Here is a 12,175-nt window from a genome sequence, read left to right on the forward strand (position 1 = left end):
GGCTGAGGCAGGAAGATCACTTGGGACAAGGAGTTTGAGACCAGCTTGGGCAAGATGGCGAGACCCCTCTGTATAAAAAACTAAAAAATTAGCTGGCCATGGTGGCAAACACCTTTAGTCCCCGCTACTTGGGAGGCTGAGGCAGGAAAATTGGTGAGCCCAGGTGGTCGAGGCTGCAGTGAGCTATGATCACACCACTGCATTCCAGCCTGGGCAACAGAGCAAGACTCTGTCTTAAAAAAAAAAAAAAATCATTTTAAAACCTGATACATGCTGGGAGAAATTAAGAGGAGGACAAAGTTAAAGAAGATAAATAGAACATTTTTCAAGCTTCCTACTTAGGGCATTTTCCTCTTTGCTTATTAGAAGGCTTAATATATATCAGTAACATTTATCTATGTGTGCCCTCTTCAAGGAAAGACACAGGCACACACATGCACACAAGTGCCCTTGAAAGAGAATAATAATGGCAGAACTCATTATATATCCTAGGTTTTTATATTTCTGAGAAATGGAAAAATTGCTTTTCTTAGTAATGTAGGAAGCACTTAAATCCTGAGAGCAAGCCACCTCAACATTGTTTCTTCTTGTTTTTGTGCTCTTAAATTAAAATGCATGTTTTAATTGCTGCAACTATAATTTGTTCAGTAATGGCGTAATTACGAGGCATGATGAAGAGAGAATGTGCATCATCCTTTTTATTATCTTTCTCTTTTTGTTTTAACCTTTTGTCTCAACCTTGGCTAGAGTCTAAAGAGATAGACTAGAATAGTTACTGCCAGCTCAAGAAACACACTTAACCACTGCTCATTTCTAGTGAACAGTACCTTACAGTGTCTTAGCACTAAAGCTAATTATAACAGAAAATAAATATTGAGAACAGTGAAGTTATGATGGCTTTAAAATTGGGGTTTTTTCTTGTTTTTACTTTACTTTTAGGTTCAGGGGCACATGGCCACGTTTGTTATATAGGTAGATTGTGTGTCATGGAGGTTTGGAGTACAGATTATTTCCTCACCCAGATAATCAGCATAGTACCTGAATTTTTTTTTCTGACAAACCAATTTGGAAAATTTTATTAGTTCCAATAGATTGATAGGTAGATTTCCCCCCAACGCTTTATCATAAAAATGTTCAAACATAAAAGTGGAAAGAATTTTACAGTGAACACTAACATCCCACCACACACAGTCTACTGTTAACTTTTTACTGGCTTTATCACGGAGATTTTTAAAGGACTTCACTGTTTCCTTTTAGGAGTTCTTAAAAGAGAGAATTAGTTTTCTCCCTTCCTGGACAAAAAACATGAATTATCCCAACCTTAGGCCACACGATAGAAAACAGCATCTGAATCTCTCCTTGTGAATAGTTCACCGAAAATAAAGAATAGAGCTCCCTAAACCTGAGTGATCTGATGATTGTAAAATAACTACATCAGGACATTGTATCATGTTTTATTTTGTTATGGTGGGTTGAGTTTATTACTATGCTTGTAGTATCTACGTTTTCTCTTAAATATCTCCTTTCTTAAGTCCCAGCGAATGATTACTTATTTTCTCTTCTTCAGAAACGGCCATCATTCAAGCAAATCATTTCAATCCTGGAGTCCATGTCAAATGACACGAGCCTTCCTGACAAGTGTAACTCATTCCTACACAACAAGGCGGAGTGGAGGTGGGTAGCCCCGACAGCAGGCCACAGCGTCTGGCTTTCAAAGACCATCACTCGTCTCAATGAAGAAGTGAACCAGAGATCTGAATGACAGTCCTGATTTCTGACCATAGCTTAGGGAAAAAGAAAAGGTTTTTTTTATGATTTTGGAACTCTTATAAGTCCTGCATTTCATAAGCAAGAAATAGTGTTTCTCCAAGCTTGTTGCCTTGTGTAAGTATTTGAAAAGAATATTGAGGCCGGTCGCGGTGGCTCACGCCTGTAATCCCAGCTCTTTGGGAGGCCAAGGCAGGCAGATCACCTGAGGTCAGGAGTTTGAGACCACCTTGACCAACATGGAGAAACCCTGTCTCTACTAAAAATACAAAAAATTAGCCAGGTGTGGTGGCACATGCCTGTAATCCCAGCTACTCAGGAGGCTGAGGCAGGAGAATCACTTGAACCTGGAGGCAGAGGTTGCAGTGAGCCGAGATCATGCCATTGCACTCCAGCCTGAGCAACAAGAGTGAAAAACTCCATCTCAAAAAAAAAAAAATTGAAATCCTGTCTTCTGAGACAAAAGATGGTTACCAGACATTTCTCTGTGTTTACTTTGTTAGGAAGCTTTGTCCTCTGTTGTGTAAGAAACAAGAATACTGTTTACCTTGAAATTCGCTGAGCACTGTGTCTGCTAGTGAAGGGGGATAGGGAGACATCAAAAATACTCTTAAAAGAAAACTTGATATCATAAATCCTATTAAAGCTTGTTAAATAAATTTAGTAATGAGAAAATTGTATTGCATGAGTGGAAGAGTAAACCCAGGATGAAACATTTGAGCCAGGTCACATGATGCATGACTATAAATAGCATGTTTGGAAGCTGACATTATTCCCCCCCTGACTCAGCGGAGATTTAGGTAACTTCATCTCTGCTCCCGATAGCCGTGGGCAGTAACATGACGCCTTACGCCATCTGCTGATGCCAAATGAATACTGCATGCACTTTGAAAATTACTGCGTTGTTTACTCCTGTTACTAGATACTTCTTTGGGCTTTCTGTTTGTTGTTTTACAATAACCTTATTTATTTTTATTCCTTTGAAATATCTTATCTAGGGCTAGTGAGGTAAATGAATTTTTATTTAGGGATACAAAAATTATACAGTGAGCTCAAGTCTAGGTATAAGGGACTTTTTTCTGGGCTGAGATAATTAACAAAACAGAACATTTAAGTAATATTTGTTTTTTGCAGTAAGAGATCAGTATACATGTCATCAGATCATTCTCCTTTAAAATCCATATATGAGTTCCCATTACTCTTAAGACAAAGACCAGAATACTTGGCACAGTGGCTCATGCCTGTAATCCCAGCACTTCAGGAGGCCAAGGCTGGTGGATTACTTGAGCCCAGGAGTTCAAGCCCAGCCTGGTGACAGAGCAAGAATCATTCTCAAGAAATGAAAAGGACCAGAATACTTAAGAAGACTCACCAGACCCTCATTACTGTGGCCTCACCAGTGTCAGCTTAAGAAGATCATTCTCCCCTTAATTTCTGGCTTTCAGTCCCTCAACAGATGCGTATTTCTCCCCTTTTCAGGATCTTTACAAGCAGTTTCCTCTCTTTGAAGCTTATCCCATTTCAGCTGTGTACCACGCCTGCCGTCACACCCCACCTTAACTCCTGTTCATCATTCACATGGCAGTTGAATAACACGTCTGCAGGGAAACACTTCCTGACCCCAGGCCAGATCAGGTTCCACTTTATGTGCTCTGAGAGCATCTCCTTCATAGGCTTTGCTGCTATTGGAATTAAGAAGTAATTCGGGCCAGGCACAGTGGCTCACGCCTGTAATCCCAGCACTTTGGGAGGCCAAGTCAGGTGGATCAACGTCAGGAGATCGAGACCATACTGGCTAACACGGTGAAACCCCATCTCTACTAAAAATACAAAAAATTAGCCAGGCATGGTGGCGGGTGCCTGTAGTCCCAGCTACTTGGGAGGCTGAGGCAGGAGAATGGCGTGAACCCGGGAGGCAGAGGTTGCAGTGAGCTGAGATCGCGCCACTGCACTCCAGCCTGGGCGACACAGCAAGACTCCGTCTCAAAAAAAAAGAAGTAATTCGGCAGTTAGTTGTTTAATGTGTGTCTCACGGGCTGAAATATAAGAGAGGCAGACAATCACGTTTGTTCATCACTCACAGCATCAAAATGTGCCTTGAACACAGCATTTGCTCCGTAAATATTTGGGGAAGCAAGAGAGAAAATTACCATGGTGGTAATAATATAAAAAGAGATTGTGATATTATACAAGAGAATATAAATATGTATGTTTGCCATGACAAAAGTACTTCTTATGTTCATTCATTCATTATCCATTCATTGAACTTCTGCTGGTGTGAGAACGACTGTTGCCATTCGGGTACTGGGCTGTAGCGATGAGCACAAGAGTCCCAGGGCATGTGGAGCTCTCCAGCCCGAGTGTCCAATGTTAAACTATTAAATATATTCAAAACTATCGCATTTCTATTTTGACAAGTATTATGACAGAGAAATATACTAGATGTCTGAGAGCATATGGCCATGAAATCTGATCTAGTCCAAGGACATAGTAAAAGGATTTTGGAGAAAATGCTATTTGATCTATTACCGAAGGGATTAGTAAGATTTTAATACCAAGATAGGGAGTCTTTTAAAGTATGTCAACAAGGCCAGGCGTGGTAGCTCACACCTGTAATCCCAACACTTTGGGAGGCCGAAGTGAAAGACTGCTTGAGCCCAGAAGTTCAAGACTAGCCTGAGCAACGTAGACCTCATCTCTACTCACAATTTAAAAATTAGCTGGGCATTGTGACTCTAACCTGTGGTCCCAGTTACTCAACTCGGGAGGCTGAGGTGGGAGGATCACTTGAGCTGGGGAGGTCAAAGCTGCATTGAGCCGAGATCTGGCCACGACACTCCAGCCTGGGCTACAGAGTGAGATCCTATTCAAAAAAAAAAAAAAAAAAAGAAAAGAAATGAGAAGGCTGTGCAAAAATGTAGGGACACTTATTCAGCAAAACATCACTGAAAAGGGTAAACCAGAAATGGTATAAAGTGCAATAAACAGAGAATTAAAATAAATTTAAAATGATGGTATCTCCATATACAGAATATGATCATTCCTAAAATCACAGATCTGATAAATGATTTCAAAGTAGACCCTACAGTCTAGTTTGTTTAGAATGTTTCTATTTTTTATAAAATAAATATATATTATTGTGTATATGTACACAGAGAAAAGTATCAAAAAGTCAGTGTTATCACTGGGTAATGGGATTATAGAGAGTGTTTTTTATTTGTATATCTTTATTCCCTACTTCTTCCACATTAAACATGGACTAGTTGGATGATAAATTCAATTTTTAAAATGCTTGAAGATGAAAGTGAGGGAAATAAAATTGATGATTGAGAACGGGGGGGAAAAGGAGATACAAGACAGTGAAGTATTTTAGTAAAAGGCGTACAGTTGCCTAAGGGGCCTCCTCATCTTTCAGGAACTGTTAATCCTGTTCTGAGAGCTGGAGAGAGAATATATATCTTGACCTGAACCAGTAAACCACAGTTTGAGAAGCAGTAGAGCTGTTTTCACTGAAGCAGGCAATTGGTTAAAAACAGGACTGTAATAGTAATTTTAATAATAAACACAGTTGTCACTTATTAGGTTCTTACCAGATGCCTGTACTTCATTTAGATTTTCTTTTTTAATCCCCATAGCAACCCTAAATTATATCACAGATGCAAAGGTAAATTGAGTAACTTGCTCAAAATCATACAGAACTGAGAACAGAACCCAGTACAGAATACAGTAACAGAACCCAGGTGGTCTGGTAGCACAGGCCTGCCCTTGCACCCATGCTGTACAGTGCGGTTACTAGACTTGTGGCCGTTGTTGTGCTGTCTTCTCATTAGCATGCAATATTCACTTGACTGAATTCCTTTTTAGCTAAGAGAAATATTACAGGGCATGATCATTTTAGGTTATTAAGGTGTCTAACTCAATATGTAAACTGCTGAAAAGAATTATATGTTTTTATCAGATAATCTCAACATTTCAAAAGACAACACATTCAGACTACTCCCCTTTCCCCCCAACTTTTATCTAGTGTCTGAAACCACATGACTAGTGTCCAAAGAGTGTTTTAGTAAATTAGAGTCACCGTGATCACAGTGCAGCCTGATTCCAATCCTGCTGTGGTGTTTCTGGCAAATGATTATTTTCTGGCAGAGCTTCCTCTACATACAGACCAGATGCAACTTGTATTTTTAGAAAACTGAATGGTTATTCTGAAATTCTTTTTAAAACTACATTATTAAAAACCACATAAACTGTGTTCTTTCCTTTGACCTAATAAATGATAGGAACAAAATCTAGTGTCAGACTTTTCCTCAGTCATCAGATCTTCAGCTTATTTCTCCTCCCATTGACTTACTAGCAATAATGGCAATGAGCATTAAGAACAGAAAATGTGTCATCCTGTTGGTCCTGTTTTGGATTTTCATTAACCATGTGACTGTAGACCTGTGGCAACCTGCACTGAATGAGCCATGCAGTGTTGTGATGAGCGTTCCGATCTGTGTCTCTTGGCAAAACACTTGGTTGGTTGTGTTTCCCGTGGTGACCAAAGTACTCTCACCATGACGTGCGTTCTTAAAAAACCAGAGATCAAAAATGTAACCTTTGCAATTGCACAAATCATGTAATATATAACACATTTAATAAACAGATTATACATTTATCATGTAATATATATTCTATATCACTCTTTTTACAAATTGACCTTTTATTTCAAAGTAAGTTTCTATCTGAGGAAAGAAGATAATTACGGTTCATTGCCTGTTTTTGGCATATGGAAAATTGATACTAGTTGACATTGACCTTGATTGGATTTGGCTTACAAGAAGACCATAATTTTCATCAACTAAGACATTTAAACTATATTTTTAGAACAAGAAGTTTATATAAATATATCAACAAATGCATTTGATGCACAACAATGCACCAAAAAAACCAAGGGAGCAGCTGTTTTTTTTGTCATCTCCAGGTTGGGGTTACATCTCTAATGGCATATAACCTCACACACGATTTGACTCTGCAGTGTTGGGAGTGCTGTTGGAAAGCTGAGCCTGAGAGACAGATTGAGGAAGGAGATTTACTTGGTGTTTGTTTCTGTGTCACAGCTTTCCGTCCATTTAACTCTTGATCTGTTTTCTGGAAGTGCTCAAAATCGCAGTAGGCTCTCAAAGCTGGAACTTGAGATGCATCTTTGGCTTAAATTACAAGTGAAATAGAATGTAGTGGCCATTTACCCTGGTCTAAAAGAACATCAGTCAATCTGTCTCACTGGCAGGGGTGTGGGGACTGGGTCGGCAGAAGCGCTGTGTAGATGCTGTCCCCAGGCCTCTGCCATCGCACACTGAGGGCACCCAGCTCCACCACCTCCTTGCTGCCTTCTGACCGCCTCACTGACTGAAGATGGCTCACTCTTTTCTTTTTTTGTGACAAAAATTTACCCTAAGGTTTTTCACGTTTTTTTCCCCTCAGTCCTCCATTGAAAAATAAAAACTTTGTTTACGTGCATAGGCATAATATTTTTGTCAGAAATATCAGGGATAAAATTTGGATTTTATGGTACAGTCATAATTCTGAAAAATTGCTGATTCACTGCCTTCTTTAGGGACAGTAATGGGACTTATAGCCTTTTATGATTTTTCAGATGGCACCAGTAAAAGGCACAGGGTGTTGATATTTGTGGGCAGTGCAGCAGAAGCTACTTACACCTGATTGCTGCCTCCCTTGCTCTGAGGTGCATTTCAGACGAGTAGCGAAGTGAAATGTTGAGCCAAATCCAGACCCACCTCCATACCTGTTCAGAGTTGGATTTTGCCAGTGAATGCCTGAACTTTTTGTTTTCATTCACTTAGTTATTATCTGTAAGAGCATTGGAATGTTCCAGTAAGAGTAAACTGTTCACTTACTCTTATTCTCCCTAGAAAGAAAAAGGCAGACTTTGGTTACATATATTCATTAACTTAGATGTGGGGGCTTCTACCTTCCATAGTCAACGTCTCAATCATGATTATGCCATCACAACACAGGATTGCCTCAGTGGCACCTGGAAGCAGTAGCTGGCAGCACCCAGCAGCTATTCTGCAATAGTCACCCAGTTCCCATCTTCTTCTGCATCCTTCTCTCCAGTGCCTTCTCTAGCCTTGACTTCCCTCTCCCCTCTCCCTCATTCTCTCAGTATTGTGGCTTACTTAAAGGCTTTTCAGAAACTCAAGGGAAAGAGCTTCCAGTTTTCAAAACATAGATTTAGACTTAAACATTGCAACAGCCCTAAAGGAGAAAAACATTTGTGCTGAGCCATGGTACCAGTTCCACTTTCTGTGAAGAACAGATTTCTGTAACATGGCACATGGTTCCAAGTGGTGAGGTTGGTTGGCCTATAGGCACAAAGGGGATAACTTCCTTTAAAAATTATTAGAATTAAAAGGAACCTTAGAGTTCATCTGGCCCAGGGTTTTCTACACTTGCTTGATTGTAAAAATTACTCGGGTCTTTTATAAAATAATGAAAATTCCAGGGTCCCACCCAGGCCTACTGACTCATGAGCTCTAAGGAAGGGTCCTAGAAATCCATGTTTTGCTGGGTTCTGGTGTGTTTTTTTTTTAAAAAACAAGTTGCCTATGTAAGTCTAAGGATCAGGCAGGTAGGAGAACCCTAATGTACTATAACCACCACCCCTTACAACCAAGGAAACTGAGACAGGTTAGTCAATTGATTGCTTGGGTTACTCAGCCAATGTGTAGCCTAAAGTGTCATCTCAACCACTTACTGATGGTGTGTTGTTGACCACCTAACCTGAATATCATTTTCCCACCTATACTATGAGATTAATACCTGTTTCTTGGGACTGTTAATGGGAATAAGATGAGATCATATATAACATCACTTATGAACTGTAAAAAGCTAGATAAATGTAAGCATTTACTAAATGGCTGTACCAGGACACCAGCTCCATAGGTTATGCTGCACCCCAGTGGCCCTTCAACACTTTGTTGAAATATTTTGAGCTTATTTTTCCAAGCTAGAAACTACCCTTGATATTTAAGGACATGAAAGATTCCTTCTCCTCCGGCAGTTACCTGGTTGATTTTAAAGCACCAGCATGTGTCTTTTACTTTGATTAGCATTCTGATGGACCCACTAAGCGCTTGATGTCTCTTAAGTAAAGTTGAGACTTACACCAGCTATCCCCGTGCAGGTGCGAAATTGAGGCAACTCTTGAGAGGCTAAAGAAACTAGAGCGTGATCTCAGCTTTAAGGAGCAGGAGCTTAAAGAACGAGAAAGACGTTTAAAGATGTGGGAGCAAAAGCTGACAGAGCAGTCCAACACCCCGGTGAGTACCCTCCCCCTTCGCCGTCTTTCCACATGCGGCTCTAGGCTGCGCAGCTGAGCATGGCAGCATGGCACCTCTTCCCCTGCCTCCCGCCGCCCCCTCCTCATTTCCTGCCTCGCGCCCGTGTATTAAAGGGCCCGCGTGTGGACTCAAGCAGCGTTCATACCTAATTTCAATTAATAAAATGCCAGAGATTTAAAAGAAAAGCTTATCCTATTTCTGGCTCCTTCCTTAAGAACTGTTATTCTGTCAGTGTGTTTATATATTAGAATTACAATAATAAAATCCGATGTATTTTCACACCATCTGCTCAGTCTCAGAACATGCACCTCGGTGCTGATTAACTCCTTCTAGTCACTCAGTCATTAATAACTGTAACTCCAGCAGCTCACTGACTAACAGAGTCTTTGATGTGTCAGAACTTAACCATGTTTTCCTTCTAAAATGGAGCTAACCATGATGACATGCAAATGAGAAGCATTAATATTTCGTACTCAATTTAGTGTTATGATCATGGGCAGCAAAATATTGGAAAAAGATTCTCTCTGGACAAGCTTTCAGTATTTATTACACCTAGGCAGTATCTTGTTTTCTCCCAAGTCTTGTATTTAGAGGAATATAAAAATTATTTTTAAGCATTTCACTGGTTATACACTAACCTTGAGCTTACATGCTGATATATTATTCAAGTCTAATCAAATTTTAGCATTCTTTCCTATTTTAAATGGCATAACATTTTCAGGAATTAAGTATAAATTTATAATTGTTTTTTTTCCCAGGGTTTTTAATGGGCAATATTTGTTCACTTAAAATTACCCAAGTAATGGTAGATTAAAAGTAAACATATATTTTAAATTCATTTTTGATAGTTGCTATGGTGATGCCAAAAAATACTGAAATGCCGCTCGTTTTGTGATCTTCAAAAAGCTTTCCTATCTTTAAAAGTCTTAATCTTCATTAAGCAGCCAGTGCCCAATTGCAAAGTATTTTCCAGTGTCTAAAGAATAAAATAGTTTGTCTCCTTCCCAACTTGTGTGGAGAAGCAACCTGATATCCAAAAAAGGAAAATACCATGAAGCTAAATGTTTATTATCAGATTCAACTTGGAAAAAAAGGACTTTGGTTCTCCAGGGAATTCCAAAATGAATTGAATTGCTATCCCTAACACTATCATGGAACATTTTAAAAGTGCCACATTTTATCTGTGAATTTAACTTGGCTTGTGAGAAAGACGATGAGGGAAGTTTCCTGTTCTGGCTGAGTGGCAGCAGGCAGCCTCTGAAAGCCTCACTCTAGGGATCTGCACAGGAGCAGTGCTTCTCCCAGAGCTCATGAGGGACAGGAGCAAAAATGTGACCTCGTCCCTAGAGCACAGCTTCTGAAGTCTGCGAGGTTTTGTTTTGCTTTAAAATGCATTGAAATCTAAAGCTGTAAAGCATTGCATGGCTTGACTCTTTCTAAATGTAGTATTGTAAGAAAAAACTTTACCCATTCATATATGCTTCAGAACCTTTCTTTAGTTTATTGGCATCAGTTTTGCTAAGAAATGGGCTGCCTTGCACACATTATTGCTCTTAGTAACATAGTTGCGTAATAAATAATAAAGTGCTCTACAATAAGGCTCTGTGTGCTCGGTAGGTTGCCTGCTTGAGTTTTTAACCCCACAAAACTTTCTGTGAAGGAACTGCTCTGAGGGCTACCGTCTAACAATGGACAGCCTGCAGCACAATCTCAATGAGATTTTCTTCTTTTTTCCTTATGGGAGATAAGTTTTCTTTCTTTACAGTACTTGCTTTTAATGTGTCTTCTGCTTAGAGCTGGTATTTCTGAAGGAAAGAAAGTTTATGTTCAGATATTTTGTAAGTAGGTATTTTCTTTTGTCCTCACATCAGTTTCTGTTTAGCTTTAACTGAGATTTCTTAGAGAAAGATGAAATAAACATTTTAAAAAGGAAGTGGCTGGAGGTTTAGCTTTCCTGTAGGTGGCCTCATCTTAATTATGTAAGTTTAACATTTATGTAACTTCATAAAAAATTGTATCATTGAATTAATTTCAAGGGCACTATTTTCTTTCCTAAAACTAAAACATTAGTTAAGGATATTTGGGGAGATTAATCCTTTATGCATAAATATGGATGTTTATTTTCTAATTATAGTTGAAGCTTGATGTAAACTTTTTATTTATTTTAAGAATATAGGCTTATCTGAGACACATTTATAGAGATCTTTAGAGTCAAACCTCATGTGAGGAAGGACCCTCAAAATAATGCAATGAGCCACAAAGAGTTCCTGAGACTATCTAACAATTGAAAACGAATTTCAGAAGCTGAGAAGTTTGACTGCAAGGGAAATAACATCCTGTTTCCAATGTTTAAAGATCTAAAGTAATTGTTTTCTTCCATATAATGGATACCTTTGAGTTGAATTATATGAAATTAAAGTTATTGAACTAACAACTCCAGGAGGGTTTTTCCCAAAAGAACAAGCTACTTTTCAAAAACTCAGCTCCAACTTCACTTTAAAAATTAGGAAATTGAGGCCAGGCGCAGTGGCTCACACCTGTAAACCCAGCACTTTGGGAGGCTGAGGGGGGTGGATCACGAGGTCAGGCGTTCAAGACCAGCCTGGACAGCATAGTGAAACCCCATCTCTACTAAAAATACAAAAAATTAGCTGGGCGTGGTGGCGGGCGCCTGTAATCCCAGCTATTTGGGAGGCTGAGGCAGGAGAATCGCTTGAACCTGGAAGGCAGAGGTTGCAGTGAGCTGAGATAGTGCCACTGCACTCCAGCCTGGGCAACAGTGCTAGACTCTGTCTCAAAAAAAAAAAGGAAACTGATCCTGAATATTAGGTACCAGAATATAGAGGTCATCCCAGTATATTATTTGTACATTATTTATCATAAATGTATCCATATTGAAACTATGCCAAAAACATAAGCCTTGATTTGCTTGTTTCTCAAAAGAAGAGGCAGTAACATTTTTCATGTGCTAACAGTTTTACCCCTGAAATAGATATGCCCAAACATTTATGGGAATAAGTTGGCTGTTCAAAATAATTACGTAAAGTAGAAGATAATGTCTGTGA

At 39.3% G+C, this 12,175-nt stretch overlaps 1 protein-coding gene and 1 long non-coding RNA gene across 9 annotated transcripts in view; one reads left to right on the forward strand and one right to left on the reverse strand.

The window, feature by feature from the left end:
- MAP3K20 (mitogen-activated protein kinase kinase kinase 20) overlaps positions 1-12,175 on the forward strand; it is a 192,499-nt gene that overhangs the window by 132,645 nt on the left and 47,679 nt on the right. For all 8 annotated transcript variants that reach the window (XM_047444746.1, XM_017004324.2, NM_016653.3 and 5 more), the window contains exons 10-11: positions 1,568-1,674; positions 8,954-9,089. In XM_047444746.1, coding sequence (XP_047300702.1) covers positions 1,568-1,674; positions 8,954-9,089 — 243 coding nt within the window. The remainder of the gene's footprint in view (positions 1-1,567; positions 1,675-8,953; positions 9,090-12,175) is intronic.
- MAP3K20-AS1 (MAP3K20 antisense RNA 1) overlaps positions 1-12,175 on the reverse strand; it is an 84,325-nt gene that overhangs the window by 10,450 nt on the left and 61,700 nt on the right. The window contains exons 3-6 of the long non-coding RNA NR_033882.1: positions 7,465-7,675; positions 6,119-6,335; positions 4,508-4,630; positions 1,486-1,784 (exon numbers count right to left, since the gene is read on the reverse strand). This is a non-coding gene — a long non-coding RNA (MAP3K20 antisense RNA 1). The remainder of the gene's footprint in view (positions 1-1,485; positions 1,785-4,507; positions 4,631-6,118; positions 6,336-7,464; positions 7,676-12,175) is intronic.

The sequence above is a fragment of the Homo sapiens genome, chromosome 2 (assembly GCF_000001405.40).
Source record: "Homo sapiens chromosome 2, GRCh38.p14 Primary Assembly".
NCBI lineage: Eukaryota > Metazoa > Chordata > Mammalia > Primates > Hominidae > Homo > Homo sapiens.